This window comes from Homo sapiens, chromosome 15, assembly GCF_000001405.40.
Source record: "Homo sapiens chromosome 15, GRCh38.p14 Primary Assembly".
Taxonomy (NCBI): domain Eukaryota; kingdom Metazoa; phylum Chordata; class Mammalia; order Primates; family Hominidae; genus Homo; species Homo sapiens.
The window spans coordinates 59,449,889-59,469,499 of NC_000015.10; the positions used below are offsets into that span (position 1 = coordinate 59,449,889).

General features: G+C 39.8%; 1 protein-coding gene across 14 annotated transcripts in view; it reads left to right on the forward strand.

Moving 5' to 3' along the window:
- Positions 1-19,611, forward strand: part of FAM81A (family with sequence similarity 81 member A) — a 125,575-nt gene that overhangs the window by 51,908 nt on the left and 54,056 nt on the right. For 7 of the 14 annotated variants that reach the window (XM_047432171.1, XM_047432170.1, XM_024449846.2 and 4 more), the window contains 2 exons: positions 8,662-8,758; positions 10,045-10,318. In XM_047432171.1, the coding sequence (XP_047288127.1) occupies positions 8,739-8,758; positions 10,045-10,318 (294 nt within the window). In that variant the 5' untranslated portion in view covers positions 8,662-8,738. The remainder of the gene's footprint in view (positions 1-8,661; positions 8,759-10,044; positions 10,319-19,611) is intronic. The other 7 variants (XM_011521248.3, XM_011521247.3, XM_047432168.1 and 4 more) reach the window with 1 other exon arrangement.

The following is a 19,611-nucleotide window of genomic DNA, read 5'->3' on the forward strand; positions in this document are numbered from 1 at the left end:
GACTTGTAATTATAATTCATTTCTTTTTCTCTTTCTTTCCTTTTTTTTTGTGAGACAAAATCTCACGCTGTTGCCCAGGCTGGAATGCAGTGATGAGGTCACTGCTCACTGCAGCCTTGACCTCCCCAGGATCAGGTGATCCTCCCACCTCAGCCTCCTTGGTAGCTGGGACAATAGGTGTGTGCCACCACACCCAGCTAATTTTTCTTTCTTTCTTTTTTTTTTTTTTTTAATGTAAATGGGGTTGCCATGTTGCCCAGGCCCAGTCCTGGGTTCAAGCCATCTGCCGCCTCGGCCTCCCAAAGGGCTGGGATTACAGGCCTGAGCCACTGCACCTCGCTGCTAATTCATTTATTTTCAATACTATTTGTTCTTTCATTGCATGAATATATCATAGTTTATTCTTCCATTTGCCTAATGATGGGCGTTCATTCCCCACTCCTCACTTTTTTGCTATTAGAAAGAATGCTACCTTAAGTATTCTTGCAAATGTCTTCTTAAGAGCACATTTGGAAAGTTTTTGAGGATTTTTTAATAGTAGAATTATTAGGTCATTAGGTTTGTGCATCTTCAGCTTTACTAGATATTCAACATTGCTTTCTAAAGTGGTAGTATCAATTCACACTCCCATCTTGTGCTCCTGTTGTTCCATATATATTCTTGTCAATACTTGATCTTTTCATACTTGATTTTTGCCAGTCTGATGTGATGAAATGGTATCTCTGGGGGATTTTATCTCTTATGGCAAATTAGATTTATTTTATAATTTGCTTCCATTGTCCAGAACAGAGCCAATGTTGCATATATTAAGAACAACAACAACAAAACTTATTCAAGTTCTTACCCTTCAATATTCTTTTAAGATTTGCCAAGCAAGACAGCCACTTGGAAATCCATTTAGACTTAAAACTTAGATTATAAAGTAAATATTCTATTTCCAGTGAACAGAATTACACCCTATGTAGTTTGGTATTAGAACCCCAGCTGACTCCAACTGCCCACTGAGTACACGTGACTGTCAGTTGGCTGGTCTCTGGATGCTGTATTCTCTTGGTTAGAAGCAAGTCACAGGTCCCACCCACACTCAAAGGGAGAGGACCATGCAAGGTGTGAACACCAAGAGACAAGGATGGTGTTGTGGGGGCACCCTATGAGTCTGTCCACCACAGCAGGGACCATGTTTTGATCATCATGTTTCAGCATCATGGGTTCCAGTGTCATGGGTTTAGATCAGCATTGTTAGGGTGATCAGAGATTATCAGGGGGCTGACTTACCTAGTCTGGTTCCCATCAGAGGTGAAATTCCAATATATTAATTCACACCAAGAAAAGTAGCTGGCAGATAGACTTGGGCTTGTGTTTGCCGATTCCTGTGTACTCTCCTTTTATGCACAGCTATATGGGAAGCTAAAAGATGTGGTTGGTGAGTATGGACTCAGGGCAAGGAGTGAATAGGATTATCTTTACGGCTAATGTCACTGGACCATGGGAGCCTAATGCATCCCCCTCTATTATAGAGCTTTTCCTGCTGCCCTGGATTCCTAGGTCCTTGAAAACACCAATAATTTTTTTTTTTTTTTTGAGATGAGTCTCACTCTATCCAGCCCAGGCTAGAAGGCAGTGGTGTGATCTGGGCTCACTGCAACTTCTGTCTTCTGGGTTCAAGTGATTCTTCTGCCTGAGCCTTCCGAGTAGCTGCGATAACAGGTGTGGACCATCACGCTCAGCTAATTTTTGTATTTTCAGTAGAGATGCAGTTTCCTCATGTTGGTCAGGCTGGTGTTGAACTCCTGACCTCAAATGATCCGTCCACCTCGGCCTCCCAAAGTGCTGGGATTATAGGCATGAGCCACCACATCTGGTCACCAATACATTTTGTCTCTTCAAGCTCTGCTTTTAGTAGACATGCTGTGTATACCATCCTCCTTTCTGGTTGCACATTCATTCTCAAGCCAGAATATAATTCAGTTGATTATATTCAACAATATGAAATTACTTCAATTCAGTTATCTCTCCTGGACATTCACTCACCCAGCAAACATTTACTGATTAGCTCTGATGTGCCAAGTGCTTGGGATATAGCTGTGGACAACACAGGTCCTCATGGAGCATGCAGCATAGAGCCAAAGATGGATATTGAACTAGTATGATGAGTGTTTGCCGAATTTCAGTAATGAGTGTCAGCAGTGTCTTGGATCATTTTTGTGGATCAGCTGTTCCCATCTCTTCCTGATTCTTCAGATTTCGTTGTCAAAGTCTCATCTTAACTTGAATTTTGCAGTGTTCCCATTGGCTTTCTACACTACCTGCATCATTTTGTAGAACAAAGGAAAGGAAAATAAGATACCAAAAAGCTGAACTGATCCATGATTATAAACGCTATTTCAGTGAAAATGTCCATCATTAAGGGGCTGGCTAACAATTATGGGAGATCCATTCAGTGGACTATCACACAGGCATTAAAGATGGTGATGTAGGCTGAGCGTAGTGGCTCACGCCTGTAATTCCAGCACTTTGGGAGGCCAAGGTGGGAGGATTACTTGAGGCTGGGAGTTTGAGGCCAGCCTGGGCAATATAGTAAGACCTCATCTCTGTAAAAAATTGAAAAATTAGCCACGTATGGTGGTAAGTGCCTGTGGTCCCGGCTAATCTGGAGGCTGAGGCAGGAGGATTGCTTGAGCCTAGGAATTGGAGGCTGCAGTGAGCTATGACCAAGCCACTGTATTCTAACCTGGGTGACAGAATGAGACAGTGTCTCACACAAAAAAATTTTTAATGGTGATGTATATCTTTATATATTGACGTGGAATCATGCTCATGATGTAGTGTCAATTCGAAAATGCAGCATACACATAGTCTATGAAGTATTATTATATTATATTATTTATTTAGAAACAGGATCTCACTCTGTCACCTGAGCTGGAGTACAGTGGCATGATCTCAGGTCACTGCAGCTTCCAACTTACCAGGCTCAGGTGGTCCTCCTACCTTAGCCTCCTAAGTAGCTGGGACTGCAGGCATACACCAACATGCCTGGCTAATTTTTGTATTTTTTGTAGAGATAGGATTTTGCTGTGTTGCCCAGGCTGGTCTTGAACTCCTGGGCTCAAGTGATCCTCCTGCCTCGGCCTCCCAAAGTGCTGGGATCATAGGCATGAGCCACCGCTCCTGGCTGAAAGTTTTATTTTAAAAAATAGATATGTATTCTATCAGATGTTCATAAAGGGACATTAGCCAGGGAAGGGAAAGGAACCAACCCTTACTGGAAGCTTATCCAGTGTGCTAAGGCCAGACACTGTTCTGGATATTCCATAGCCTCCTGTGGCTAATGCCTGGTGATGCAGAGGCTGAGGTTCTAGGTCCAAATCTCTGCTCTACTGCTTCTTGGCCATGTGATGTTGGGCCAGTTGCTGAACATTTCTAAGTCTCTGTTTCCTCTGGTTCAATGTTGATAATAAGAGTATAATACTTTACAAATGATTGTGAGGATGAATTAAACTAATGCACATAAATGTGCTTCATGAGTACCGGCCCTTCTCAAGTAAGCAGTTACTCGTTACGTTACGTGTGAGCAGCTGTTAGTTATGTGACCCCCAACTCAACCAACTAAGGTGGGCCCGCTGAGATCATACAGCTAGTGGGGAAGCCAGGATTGAAGCAAGAGCCTTTCTTATCCTACCACCATGTTTTCTATGAGAGAAAAATATGTTGGACTGTAGCTGTGCAAAGGGAGAGTGAGAGAAAGAGGGATGAGAGAGACAGTAGAAGAAGGAAAACAGGCAGTAAAAATGGGAAGTTAAGAGAAAGGGCAAAGGAAAATGAAGAGGACTCAATGGTGGGGAAAGCAAAAAAAAAAAATTTGGAAGAGAGGAGGCAGGGAGAAGGTAAGGGAGAAGAGCTGGAAGAGGGTAGGGAGGGAGGCAAGAGGAGAGAGAGGAATGAGAAGTGCTAGGTGAATCTCGATACCTCTCCTGCTACTCCAGCCAGATCCCATCTCTGGGCTGCCTGAATTCCCAGTCTAGTCACCAGGGCCTTGGGCCTGCATGCACCACTGTGACTCCCCATCTCCTCTGACTCCTGCCTGCCTGGGAGGCCCTTGCCTTCTGCCATCCCACAACTTCCTATCACTCCTCAGGGCCTGGGGATCAAGTCCAAAGGCCTGAGGGTGCTGTTGGAGGTGAGTTAGAGAACAACATCCAGCTGTCTTTCCAGACAAACCTTCCACTGTTCCTGCCCTCTATCCTTTCACTCTGTTTTTAGCTATAAGGAAATAGGGTTTTTTGTTTTACCATCATATTACAACCACTTTATTCATAAATGCTTTGCCTATTTTTTATTCTGATGGTTGGGCATAATGTATCAATCCTATATTTTAATAGTGAAATGAAAAATTAACTGTTTTTACATGATTGGTATTCAACTCTTTAGTAAAAATTATCATTTTAATTTATTAAATTCATTTACCATTTTACATTAAAATGGTATGGCAGGTTTTTCTACTCAGTGTCACATCACTTATAAAACTATAATAATTGGTTGGCATTAATGTCTTCTTTTTCATTAAAATTTTAAAATATTCATCTCTATGTATATCTACTTCCTTTTTTGTTTCTCCCTTCACAGAATCCTCATAATCACAAATAATCATTTTGATTTAGATAATAGCATTTCACTTTACTCTTCTGTGAACTTCTGAATTCTATTTATATATTGCATATTTTGGGCATTTGGATTATTTTTCTTTTTTCTTTTTTTGAGACAGGGTCTTACTCTGTCACCCAGGCTAGAGTGCAGTGGTGCAGTCATGGCTCACTGCAGCCTTGACCTCCCAGGCTCAGGTGATTTTCCCACCTTAGCCTCCCGGGTAGCTGGGACTACAGATGCATGCCACCATGCCCAGCTAATTTTTTTTATTTTTTTTTACTTTTTGTAGAGACGGGGTTTTGCTTTGTTGCCCAGGCTGGTCTCAAACTCCTAGGCTCAAGAAATCCTCCCACCTTAGCCTCCCAGGTAGGACTACAGGTGTGTGCCTCCACACCTGGCTAATTTTTTTTTGTTTGTATTTTTTGTAGAGATGGGGTTTTGCCATGTTGCCCAGGCTGGTCCCAAACTCCTGGGCTCACCTTAGCCTCCCAGGTTGCTGAGACTACAGGTGTGTGCCACCACACCTGGCTAACTTTTTTTTTTTTTTTTGTAGAGATGGCATTTCACCATATTGCCCAGGCTGGTCTCAAACTCCTGAGCTCAAGCCATCCACTTACCTCAACCTCCCAAAGTGCTGAGATTACAGGCCACAGTGCCTGGCCCCAGAGTTTATTTTTTCTTACTTCTTTCCATTCTTTTCTTCTTGCTTTACCTACCTGTCCCTTCCCCCAACTTCCCCCAATTTTAAAACTTTATAAAGTGGAGATTGTTTAATATATTGTTTAATATAGTGGAATCACTGCACAATCAAAACAGCATGAAACCCAGACCTGTGTGATAAGGTTGTAGACAGACCTGTGGTATCAGTGATCAGATTTATAAACGTACAGGAGATGATAACCTCAGGCAGGTAAGCCAGAATTAACAACGGGAAGATCTGGAAACAATGCTTGAGATGTTATTTAATCCTGTGACTTATTCATTATCAATCTTTATTCATCTGCAATATAGATTCCACGTTCTGGCAAAGAATCGTGATGCTAACAAACCAAGCGACCTGCCAGATATGCAGATCCTCACCACATTCATAAAGGGCACCCATTCTGAATAATGTGTCTTGTGAGCTCATGCCTTATGAAATTTCTTGTCATAGAGCTGCATAGCGCTTAGGAGGGTTTGCTTCTGAAAAGCCATCTCCGATAATCAGTGGTGTGGCTTGACTTTTGTGGCTCTGTTCAGGTAGATGAAATGGCCTTCAGAGAAGGGGATGCCAAAGTCCCCATTCTTTCAGATACTTATTGAGTGTCTAATATTTGGGATTCAGTCTTGGTAAATAATTATACTTTTTAACTAAAGTATATTGTCTTATATCTTTATTGCTGCAGTTTCTGATCTGGAAGTGCTGGGCATTCACTCATTCATTAACAAACATATATGGATACTTCTAGGTCAGCCCTGTGTTTATTAAGATTTGAAACATGCCTGTAAGGAGCGTGTCATTTAGTAGGGGAGCTAGACTATTAAACAACTAAAAAGAATAGAGCACAATAAATAGTATACAAACAGATAAAGAGCTGGAGAAATGCAAGAGAGAGAGCCACTTTATAGACTGGAGGGGCTAGTGGGGCTTTAAAGAGTGCATGAATTTTCTAGGCTGGCAGGGGTGGGAAGGGCATTTCCCATAGAGCGCACGCACAGAGGTGTGATGGCAGGAGTGTGCAGGACATATCCAAGGACGGTGGTGGATGGGGTGGCGGGGGCGGGGGTTCCCGGTGACTGGAGCAGGTGATTGTGGTAGGGAGTGGCCAAATATGAGGGCGGAAGAACAGGTTAGGCAGGCCAGAGCATGTTCAGAAGAAAGGAAGTAGAGGTTGGAGTGTTGAAGAGAAGCTGTGGAACAATCTCTCCATCCCCTATTTTGGGAAAGCCTACTCATTCTCATCAGTTCTTCCTGACCTAGCTGCTACCCAGGAAAAATCGACCCCTCTCCTGTTTTCCCTCCCCATGTGCTTTTTTTCACAGGGTTAGCCACTTAACCCATTGTTTTTGTTTGTTTGTATTTGAGACAGAGTCTCCTCTATTGCCCAGGCTGGAGTGCAGTGGCGCTATCATGGCTCACTGTAGCCTCAGCCTCCCTGGGCTCAGGTGATCCTCCTGAGTAGCCTCCAGAGTAGCTTGGACTACAGGTGTGCATCAATACGCCTGGCTAATTTTTGTATTTTTTGTAGAGATGGGATTTCGCCATGTTGCCCAGCTGGCCTCGAAATTCTGGGCTTGAACTCCTGGGCTCAAGCAATCCTCCAACTTTGGCCTCCCAAAGTGCTGGGATTACAGGCATGAGCCACAACCCATTGTTTTCTGGTTGGTTTAGATGACTTCTGCTGAGGGAAGGGATTTTAGTTTTTCCTAGTTAGGTTACTTAATTACCTAATAGATGCCAAATACATGTTTCTTAAGTTAGGCTATTCTGTAGATTAATATCTCAACTGAGATGTCTTACAACTTTAAAACTGTAAAGATTCTATGATTCTAAATAACAGCATTTCCCACACTGGCCTGATTTTATTTACGGTAGTCCCCCCTTATCGATGGTTTCACTTTCCACATTATCCAAGGTCAACCATGGTCAAAAATATTAAATAAAAAATTCTAGAAATAAACAATTCATAAGTTTTAAATTGTGTGTTGTTCTGAAATAGTGTGATGAAATCTTGTGCGATCCTGCTCCCTCCTGCCCAGAACGGGAATCATCCTCTTGTCCAGCATATCCACACCATGTATACCTGGCCCTGTGAGTCACTTAATAGCCATCTCTGTTATCAGATTGACTGTTGGGGTATTGCAGTGCTTGTGACCAAGTAACCCTTATTTTACTTCATAATAGCCCCAAAGTGCAAGAGCACTGTGCCTAATTTATGAATTAAACTTAATCATGAGTATGTATGTGTAGAAAAGAATAGTATATATAGGCTTCGGTTTCAGGCATCCACTGGGGGTCTTGGAATGTACCCCTGACAGATGAGGGAGGGCTACTGTAGTCTATATGGCAGAAATGCTTCTCTTTGACACTGAAGAACTCTTTGGGCACCATAGCTTGTTTGGCATGAATGACTTTTTTTTCCTTAAATGTAATTTGTTTAAAGTTCTTTGTCTAAGAAAATGAAATGTGCACATTTTGAAACTCCAAAAATAAAACACTAGAGAGATGACGCCAAAACAGTGATTTCAATCAGAAATGCTTTCTGAATCCAGCATCTAAATGAGAATTAATTATGGAATCAGATCATAGTTAGTAGGCATTCATTATTTTAAGGCAATTGATAGCAGTATTGAGGAACCTAAATAATAAAGTATTTTAAACATCCTCTAGTGTTTTTCACATTTCTAATGAGTTGTGGGGACCAAATGTTCCTTATATGCAAGATGAAATATGAATGATTGTATCTTATTATAAAGTTTTCAAGTTCTAATGAGGAATATCTTTCTCACTCCCTTGGTGGATAGATATCTTCCCACAAATCAGATCACATTGATCATGTGCTGTTTTATTTGAGATTAATTTAGAAATAAGTGCTCTTCATTTACCATGGAATTAGTAGTAAAAGTTTTCTGAGATCAAATTTACTGAGGTAGTTTCCTGCAAAATTCTACAGAGAAGTATAAGATTGGATAAGCCTATTAAACACTCTAGTTTCTGTTAAAAGTGGTTTCTCAAGCTTGAGATGCAGATTTGGAGTGAGGAAACTTCAGGAAACTCCATTGTACAGTCCCTGTTGGTCTGTCTTGCAAGGCTTAGCAATATTAATTTCAGAAGAGCTTTGATTTTGCTTGATTGCTTTTCTTCTTATTTGGAAACATATGCTGTTTATTTCATGTATAAGATACAAAACATTTAATAATATAACTTATCAGTGTTTCAACATAATTTATGATCCACTTAGCAACTTAATAATAAGCTTTTGAGGTTAAGTTCTAGATATAAACTGTTAAATAATTTAGTGCTTATTTTTTCAACAGATGTGAATTATTAAAAAGAAAATGGCCCAACGGAGCACTGTATTTCCTTCTCGTGTCACCAAGGAAAGGTATAATATATGGAAAATATGCATCTAAGGTATACTTTTCCTTTCCACTCATCCCATGGGGGCTGCTAGTGGGTGTGATAGTTACAAATCAAAGCTTGGGCTGTTACATTATCGGAGAATGGTTTTGTTCAAGGGCAAGAGAAACACTATTGTGTCCTCTAGCTTTCAATTTATAGGATACTGTGGACCACTCAGTGACCCCAAGAAGTAGAGATTTCACAGTAGTCCTACAGTAGACTTGAATTTCCTGTTGAGAGTGAAATATAACTCCGGGGGCTTCAGGCTAACATCCCTGTTAAGCTTTTTAAATCAGAAGTTGCAGATTAGGGGCCTATCGGCCAAAATTGGCTCATGAAGTACATTGCTTGGCCTAGCATGTTCTTAAATACTTTTTTTGGAGACAGGGTCTCACTCTGTTCCCCAGGCTAGAGTGCAGTGGCACAGTCACAGCTCACTGCAGCCTTGACCTCCTGGGCTTAGGTGATCTCCCACCTAGCCTCCTGAGTAGCTGGGACTATAGTTATGTGCCACCATGCCCAGCTAATTTTTAAATAATTTTTTTTGTAGAGATAGGGTCTCGTTGTGTTGCCCAGGCTGATCTTAAACTCCTGGGCTCAAGCAGTCCTCCCACCTCAGCCACCCAAAGTGTTGGGATTACAGGTGTGAGCCACTGTGCTGGCCTTAAATACTTTTTAAATGAATCGTTAACATTTTAAAATCAAGCGATTTCACATACAAGTCGGGATTTGCTAGCTTTTCTTGAGAAATATCAGATCATCTGGAAAAAGGGACCTGAAATCCCTGATGGTCACTCATGGGTGGAGCAGAACTGTGGCTCCCTTTAGCTGGGAAATGCCCTTTCCAGATCTCTAAATCCCTGACACTCCCTATTGCCTCATATGTAGTATGCTTCACTCATTTATGTCGCCTGCCTGACCCACGTAGGCATTGAGTTTGTAACCACTGTTTCAGAGAGGGAGGAGGAGGAGAGCATGTTAGGAGACTTTGTTAATGCACTTGATCTTGATAACATAGATTATATTGGGGAGACATCTCGGTGTACCCAACTCTGCCAGCCTCTTGCTCTTGGAAGTCATGGAGACCGCTTCTAAAACACTGAAGTCTGTGGGCATGATTATTTAAAGATCTTTCCCGGCTTGTGAAGAAAACTTTTTTAGGCAGAAATCCTGCCTCAAACCCTATTTAGCTTGTAGTTATAGATAATTTGTATTTCCAGACTTCTCTGGGAAGTTTTGAATCTGGCTTTAAACATTATTTTTTCCCAATTAACAACCCTCATGGTTCCCTTCTGCAGGCGAGTGAGAACCATGCCCCGACACAGCCAGTCCCTGACCATGGCACCATACTCATCTGTAAGCCTCGTGGAGCAGCTGGAAGACAGGATCCTCTGCCATGAGAAAACCACCGCCGCCCTCGTAGAGCACGCCTTTCGGATTAAAGATGACATTGTCAACAGTTTGCAGAAAATGCAAAACAAAGGGGGAGGTGACCGCTTGGCCAGGCTTTTCTTGGAGGAGCATATCAGAAACATAACTGCCATAGTGAAGCAACTTAATCGGGATATCGAGGTAAGGTTTGTGAAAGTCAGGTGGCCTATGTCCCTTTCCACAGAATTGCTCCATGTCAGGAGGTCACCCACATCTAACTCCTACCTCCCAGGCAGTACTGCATTTAGAACAAAGCTGTCTGTCTTGTCTATTCTTAATGATCGCCAAGGAGACAGCTTGCAGAAATATCCTAATTAAATTTATTCCAGTGTTTGATAACAGTTACTGTTAGTGTTATGTTTAATCTAAATTTACCTTGCTGATTATTAAATGATTTTATTTTGTTTGGCTCTTAATGAAGAGAGAGAAGAACTAGTCGAATAGTTTCACTCTATAATCTTTCATATCTTTGAAGACAGCTATTAAGTCAATTACTAAGGTCAGACTCTGTTGCTTCAGATTAAATGTTTCTAGGTCATAATGATTATATGTAATACAGTTTATTACTCAAACAATTTAGGCATTTGGATTGCTCCTCAGACTCCCCTTTTTACTGCTGTAGTTTTCTTTGAAATGAGACCAATAAAAGGCCAATATTGTCTATTTTTAGAATTGGTAGATTTACTGCTATTTATTGAGCAATCACAGGGACCACACAGTTTAGTTCAGAAAGCTTCAGATCATTTAGGGCTTGGGTTTCCCTCACTACGCAATGTTCATATCTTTCACATGTAATGACTGAATATATGAATACTAATAGATATATGGCTAGATTAAGGAAAACTTTTGCTTCCTGTGATGGAGATTATATCTGAATTATGCTTCCTAAAATTAAACCTCATTTCTTTTTTTTCCATTGTCAGATTTGTATGTATGTATTTATTTTAACCGCTTTATTGAGATATAATGTAAATGTCACAAAAAGTGTAAAATTAAATGATTTTTAGTAAATTTATAAAATTGTGCAACCTCAACACAATTCAATTTTAGGACACTGCCATCACCTTCCCAAAATTCACATAAGCCTGTTTGCAGTCAATTCCTACTTCTACCCCAGCCCAGGCAACCACTCATCTACTTTCTATCTCTAGAAATTGGTCTTTTCCAGACATTTCATATAAATGGAAACCTTACAATATGAGGTCTTTCGCATCTGGCTTCTTTCTTTCCTTTTCTTTCTTTTTGTTTGTTTGTTTGTTTGTTTGTTTTGAATGCAGTTGTGCAATCATGGCTCACTGAAGCCTTGACCTCTCAGGCTCAACCGATCCTCCTGCATCGGCGTCCCAAGTAGCTGGGACTACAGGTGTGCACAATCATGCCCAGCTAATTTTTGTATTTTTAATACTACAAGGTCCATCTATACTATAGTATTTTTTGTAGAGACATCGTCTCACTATGTTGCCCAGACAGGGCTTGAACTCCTGGGCTCAAGCAATCTGTCTGCCTCAGCCTCCCAAAGTGCTGGGATTACAGATGTGAGCCACTGTGCCCAGCCTGGCCTCTCTCATTTAGCATAATCTTTCTGCGGTTCAGACATATCCTAGCATGTATCATATTCCTTTTTATGTCTGAGTAATATTCTATTTTCTGGATATACCACATTCTGTTTAACCATTCATGAACTGATGGGCATTTGGTTTGTTTCCAGTTCTTAGCTTTTATGAGTAAAGCTGCTATGAACATTTGTGACAGGTCTTTGATGTGAAAATATGTCTTTATTTCTCTTGGGTAAATTACTAGGAGTAGAATTGCTGGGTCTTATAGTGAGCTTATGTTTAACTTTTTAAAACATAGCTGGCAGGGCGCGGTGGCTCATGCCTGTAATCCCAGCTCTTAAGGAGGCCGAGGCAGGTGGATCACAAGGTCAGGAGATTGAGACCATCCTGGCTAACACAGTGAAACCCCATCTCTACTAAAAACACAAAAAATTAGCTGGGCGAGGTAGCGGGTGCCTGTAGTCCCAGCTACTCGGGAGGTTGAGGCAGGAGAATGGCGTGAACCTGGGAGCTGCAGCTTGCAGTGAGCCAAGACCATGCCACTGCCCTCCAGCCTGGGCGACAGAGCGAGACTGCATCTCAAAAAAAAAAAAAAAAAACATAGCCAAATAATTTTCCAAAGTGGCTATAACATTTTACAATCCCACAAGCAATGTATGAAGGTCCCAGTTTCTCTACCCCCTCAGCAATACTTGGCATTATCTTTTTTTATTATAGTCATTCTAATGGATGTGTAGTGGTATCTCATTGTGGTTTTAATTTGTATTTTCCTAATGACTAATGATCTTGAACACCTTTTCATATGCTTATTGATCATTTGTATGTCTTTGTTGGTGAAATGTCTATGTAAGTCTTCTACCCATTTTATTAAAGTTAGATTTTCTTCATTGTGGGGAAAAAAGCTACCATTTTAACCATTTTAAGTGTATAATCTAATGACATTAAGTACATTCACAATGTTGGGCAATCATTATTACTGTCTATTTCCAAAAGATTTCCATCATCCCAAAGTGAGACTTTGTTCCCATTAAAAAGTAACTCCCCACTCCACTTTCCCCTCAGCCCCTGGTGACCTCTATTCTATTTTCTGTCCTTATGAATTTGCTTATTCTAGCTACTTCATATAAGTGGAATCAGACAATAATTTGTACTTTTGTGTCTGGCTTTTTTCACTTAGCATAATGTTTTCAAGGTCCATCCATAATGTAGCATGTATCAGAATTCATTTTTATATTGGGTTATTTGTCATATTATTGATAACTTATGAAAGTTTTTATGTAGTTTAGATACAAGTCCCTTATCAGATATGTGATCTACAAATATTTTCTCCCACTCTGTGGCTTATATTTTCGTTTTCCTAATAGTGTCTTTTGAAGTGTGAACATTTTTAGTTTTATTGAAGTCTAATATCAATTTTTTTCTTCAATGGTTTATTCTTTTTGTGTTGCATCTTTACAACTATTTGCTTATTAATTCAAGGTCACAAAGATTTTCTCCTATGTTTAATTCAAGATTCTCAGTTTATACACTTAGGTCTGTGAACCATTTTGAGGTAATTTTTGTATATGGTGTGAGGTAAGGGTCTAAGTTAATTTTTTTTTCATCTCGCTATCTTAGGAAAATCTATCCTTTTCCCATTTGTCCTTTTGTTGAAAATCAATTGAACATAAAATATAACGGTTTATTTCTGGATTCCACTGTTCTGTATGATTTTCTTAATGTCAATGCCACATTGTCTTGATTTCTAGTTTTAGAGTATATTTTTGAAATAAGGTAATGTAAGTTCTCCAACTTGCAACTAATGTAAGTTCTTTTTAAAAGGTAGTTTTGGACTAGTCTATGTCCTTTGCATTTTCGTTTAAATTTTAGGATTAGCTTATCAGTTTATATTAAACAGTGACTTTGATAGAGATTGCTTTGCATGTATAGATTTTAAAAAGGCTGGGTGCAGTGGCTCACACCTGTAATCCCAGCACTTTGGGAGGCAGAGGTAGGAGAATCACTTGAACACAGGAATTTGAGACCAGCCTGAGCAACATAGTGAGACCCTATCTTTCTCTAAAAATAACAATAATAATAATAATAATAAAAAGAAATAATGTATAGATCCATTTGGGGAGAGTTGCCATCTTAATTACTGTGTCTGATTGTTCAAGGAACCAACTTTTGGTTTTATTAATTTTGTCAGTTTTTTTTGTTTTTGTTATTAATTTAAAAATTTTAAAATTGACAGACAATAATTATACATATTCTTGGGGTACCTAGTGATGTTTCAATACATCTAATATGCAGTGACCAGATCAAGGTAATTTTGTGTCGTTTAACAAGTTGCTATATCTCCTTCCCTTCCCCCTACCCATCCCATCCTCTAGTATTCTCTATTCTAATTTTTACTTCTTTGAGATCAACTTTTTTTAGCTTTCACATATGAGTAAGAACATGCAGTGTTTAACTTTCTGTTCCTGGCTTATTTCACATAACATAATGTCCTGCTGTTCTATCCGTGTTGTTGCAAAAGACAGAATTTTGTTCTTTTTTATGGCTGATAGTATTCCATTGTGTATATACACCACATTGTCTTTATCCATTCATCCATTGTTGGACACCTAGGTTTGATTCCATATCTTGGCTATTATGAATAGTGCTGCAATAAACATGGGGGTGAAGATGTCTCTTCAATATACTGATTTCCTTTCCTTTGGATAAATTCCCAGTAGTGGGATTGCTGGATCATATGGTAGTTCTATTTGTAGTTTTTTGAGGAACCTCCATACTTTTCTCCATAGTGGCTGTACTAGTTTACATTCCCGCCAACAGTGTATAAGAGCTCCCTTTTCTCTGTATCCTTGCCAGCATGAGTTACTTTTTGTGTTTTGGTAATAGCAGTTATAACTGGAGTGAGATGATACCTCATTGTGATTTTGATTTGCATTTCCCTGATAATTAGTGATATTGGGCCTTTTTTCATACATTTGTTTGCCATTTGTATGTCTGCTTTTGAGAAATATTTGTTCAAATCATTTACCCATTTAAAAAATTGGATATTTTTTGCTATTGAGTTGTTTGAGTTCCTTCTGTATTCTGGATATTAATCCCCTATTGGATGAGTAGTTTGCAGGTATTTTTCTCCCATCCTGTAGATTGTCTTTTCACTTTGTGGATTGCTTCCTTTATTGTGCAGAAGCGTTTTTGTTTGATATAATCCATTTGTTTATTTTTGCTTTTGTTGTCTGTGCTTTTGAGGTCTTATTAATAAAATCTTCTCCTAGACCAGTGTCCTGAAGTGTTTCCCCTATGTTTTCTTCTAGTAGTTTTATCATGTTGGGCCTTACATTTAGGTCTTTTGTCCATTTGGAGTTTATTTTTGTATTGGGTGAGAGGTGGGGGCCTAGTTTAATTCTTTTGCATATGGATGTCCAGCTTTCCCAGCACCATTTATTGAAGATTTGTCTTTCCCTCAATGAGTATTCTTGGCACCTTTGTCCAAAATCAGATGGCTGTAGATACGTGGATTAATTTCTAGGTTCTCTTTTCTGTTCCATTGTTCTATGTGTCTATTTTTATGCCAGTACCATGCTGTTTTGGTTACTACAGCTATGTAGTATATTTTGAGGTCTGGTAGTGTGATGCCTCTGGCTTTGTTCTTATTTATTTATTTACTTATTTATTGAGATACAGTCTCACTCTTTTGCCCAGGCTAGAGTGCAGTGGCGTGATATTGGCTCACGGCAACCTCAGCCTCCCAGGTTCAAGTGTTTCTCCTGCCTCAGCCTCCTGAGTAGCTGAGATTACAGGCACATGTCATCATGCCAGGCTAATTTTTGTATTTTTAGTAGAGACAGGGTTTCACCATGTTGGCTAGGCTGGTCTCCAACTCCTGACCTCAGGTGATCCGCCCATCTCGGCCTCCCAAAGTGCTGGGATTACGGGCATGAGCCATTGCGCCTGGCCCTAGTTTTGTTCTTGCCCAGGGTTGCTTTGTCTATTCGCGGTCTTTTGTGGTTCCATACAAATTTTAGGGTTTTTGGTTGAGTGCAGAGAACATCCTTTTTGTTTTCTTTCCTTTTCTTTTCTTTTTTCTTTTTAAATTATACTGTAAGTTTTAGGGTACATGCGCACAACGTGCAGGTTTGATACATAGTTATACATGTGCCATGTTGGTTTGCTGCACCCATCAACTCATCATTTACATTAGATATTTCTCCTAATGCTATCCCGCCCCCAGCCCCCCGTCCGCTGACAGACCCCGGTGTGTGATGTTCCCTGCCATGTGTCCAAGTGATCTCATTGTTCAGTTCCCACCTGTGAATGAGAACATGCGGTGTTTGGTTTTCTGTCCTTGTGATAGTTTGCTGAGAAAGTTTGCTGAGAATGATGGTTTCCAGCCTGATCCGTGTCCCTGCAAAGGACATGAACTCATCCTTTTTTATAGCTGCATAGTATTTCATGGTGTATATGTGCCACATTTTCTTAATCCAGTCTATCACTGATGGACATTTGGGTTGGTTCCAAGTCTTTGCTATTCTGAATAGTGCTGCAATAAACATACATGTGCATGATTTATAGTAGTATGATTTGCAATCCTTTGGGTATATACCCAGTAATGGGATTGCTGGGTCAAATGGTAATTCTAGTTCTAGATCCCTGAGGAATCGCCACACTGTCTTCCACAATGGTTAAACTAATTTACACTCCCACCAACAGTGTAAAAGCGTTCCTATTTCTCCACATCCTTGCTAGCATCTGTTGTTTCCTGACTTTTTAATGATTGCCATTCTAACTGGCGTGAGATGGTATCTCTTTGCGGTTTTGATTTGCACTTCTGTGATGACCAGTGATGATGAGCATTTTTTCATGTGTCTGTTGGCTGCATAGACGTCTTCTTTTGAGATGTGTCTGTTCATTTCCTTTGCCCACTTTTTGATGGGGTTGTTTGTTTTTTTCTTGTAAATTTGTTTGAGTTCTTTGTAGATTCTGGATGTTAGCCCTTTGTCAGATGGGTAGATTGCAAAAATTTTCTCCCATTCTGTAGGTTGCCTGTTCACTCTGATGGTAGTTTCTTTTGCTGTGCAGAAGCTCTTTAGTTTAATTAGATCCCATTTGTCTATTTTGGCTTTTATTGCCATTGCTTTTGGTGTTTTAGGCATGAAGTCCTTGCCCATGCCTATGTCCTGAATGGTACTGCCTAGGTTTCTTCTAGGGTTTTTAGGGTTTTTAGGTCTAACATTTAAGTCTTTAATCCATCTTGAATTAGTTTTTGTATAAGGTGTAAGGAAGGGATCCAGTTTCAGCTTTCTGCATATGGCTAGCCAGTTTTCCCAGCACCATTTATTAAATAGGGCGTCCTTTCCCCATTTCTTGTTTTTGTCAGGTTTGTCAAAGATCAGATGGTTGTAGATGTGTGGTATTATTTCTGAGGCCTCTGTTCTGTTCCATTGGTCTATATGTCTGTTTTAGTACCAGTACCATGCCGTTTTGGTTACTGTAGCCTTGTAGGATAGTTTGAAGTCAGGTAGCATGATGCTTCCAGCTTTGTTCTTTTTGCTTAGGATTGTCTTGGCAATTCAGGCTCTTTTTTGGTTCCATATGAACTTTAAAGCAGTTTTTTTCAATTCTGTGAAGAAAGTCATTGGTAGCTTGATGGGGATGGCATTGAATCTATAAATTACTTTGAGCAGTATGGCCATTTTCACGATATTGATTCTTCCTATCCATGAGCATGGAATATTCTTCCATTTGTTTGTGTCCTCTTTCATTTTGTTGAGCAGTGGTTTGTAGTTCTTCCTTGAAGAGGTCCTTCACATCCCTTGTAAGTTGGATTCCTAGGTATTTTATTCTCTTTGTAGCAATTGTGAATGGGAGTTCACTCATGATTTGGCTCTCTGTTTGTCTGTTAATGGTGTATAGGAATGCTTGTGATTTTTGCACATTGATTTTGTATCCTGAGACTTTCCTGAAGTTGCTTATCAGCTTAAGAAGATTTTGGGCTGAGATGATGGGGTTTTCTAAATATACAATCATGTCATCTGCAAACAGGGACAATTTGACTTCCTCATTTTCTAATTGAACACCCTTTATTTATTTCTTTTGCCTGATTGCCCTGGCCAGAACTTCCAACACCATGTTGAACAGGAATGGTGAGAGAGAGCATCCTTGTTTTGTGCCGGTTTTCAAAGGAAATCCTTCCAGTTTTGCCCATTCAGTATGATATTGGCTGTGGGTTTGTCATAAAATAGCTCTTATTATTTTGAGATACGTTCCATCAATACCTAGTCAAATGAGAGTTTTTAGCACGACGGGCTGTTGAATTTTGTCAAAGGCCTTTTCTGCATCTATTGAGATAATCATGTGGGTTTTGTCATTGGTTCTGTTTGTGTGATGGATTATGATTATTGATTTGCATATGTTGAACCAACCTTGCATCCCAGGGATGAAGCCAACTTGATCTTGGTGGATAAGCTTTTTGATGTGCTGCTGGATTCGGTTTGCCAGTATTTTATTGAGGATTTTCACATTGAGTTCATCAGGGATATTGGCCTAAAAGTCTCTTTTTTTGTTGTGTCTCTGCCAGGCTTTGGTATCAGGAAGATGCTGGCCTCATAAAGTGAGTTAGGGAGGATTCCCTCTTTTTCTACTGATTGGAATAGTTTCAGAAGGAATGGTACCAGCTCCTCTTTGTACCTCTGGTAGAATTCGGCTGTGAATCCGTCTGGTCCTGGACTTTTTTTGACTGGTGGCCTATTTATTATTGCCTCAATTTTAGAGCCTGTTACTGGTCTATTCAGAGATTCAACTTCTTCCTGGTTTAGTCTTGGGAGGGTGTGTGTGTCCAGGAATTTATCCATTTCTTCTAGATTTTCTAGTTTATTTGTGTAGAGGTGTTTATAGTATTCTCTGATAGTAGTTTGTATTTCTGTGCGATCAGTGGTGATATCCCCTTTACCATTTTTTATTGCATCTATTTGATTCTTCTCTCTTTTCTTCTTTATTAGTCTTGCTAGCAGTCTATCAATTTTGTTGATGTTTAAAAAAAAAAACCCAGCTCCTGGATTCATTGATTTTTTTGAAGGGTTTTTTGTTTCTCTGTCTCTTTCAGTTCTGCTTTGAGCTTAGTTATTTCTTGCCTTATGCTAGCTTTTGAATGTGTTTGCTCTTGCTTCTCTAGTTCTTTTAATTGTGTTGTTAGGGTGTCAAATTTAGATCTTTCCTGCTTTCTCTTGTGGGCATTTAGTGCTATAAATTTCTGTCTACACAATGCTTTAAATGTGTCCCAGAGATTCTGGTACGTTGTGTCTTTGTTCTCATTGGTTTCAACATCTTTATTTCTGCCTTCATTTTGTTATGTACCCAGTAGTCATTCAGGAGCAAGTTGTTCAGTTTACATGTAGTTGTGCAGTTTTGAATGAGTATCTTAATCCTGAGTTCTGATTTGATTGCACTGTGGTCTGAGAGACAGTTTGTTGTGATTTCTGTTCTTTTACATTTTCTGAGGAGTGCTTTACTTCCAATTATGTGGTCAATTTTAGAATAAGTGTGATGTGGTGCTGAGAAGAATGTATATTCTGTTGATTTGGGGTGGAGAGTTCTGTAGATGTCTATTAGGTCTGCCTGTTGCAGAGCTGAGTTCAGGTCCTGGATATCCTTGTTAACCTTGTGTCTCACTGATCTGTCTAATATTGACAGTGGGGTGTTAAAGTCTCCCATTATTATTGTATGGGAGTCTAAGTCTCTTTGTAGGTCTCTAAGGACTTGCTTTATGAATCTGGGTGCTCCTGTATTGGGTGCATATATATTTAGCATAGTTAGCTCTTCTTGTTGAATTGATCTCTTTACCATTATATAATGGCCTTCTTTGTCTCTTTTGATCTTTGTTGGTTT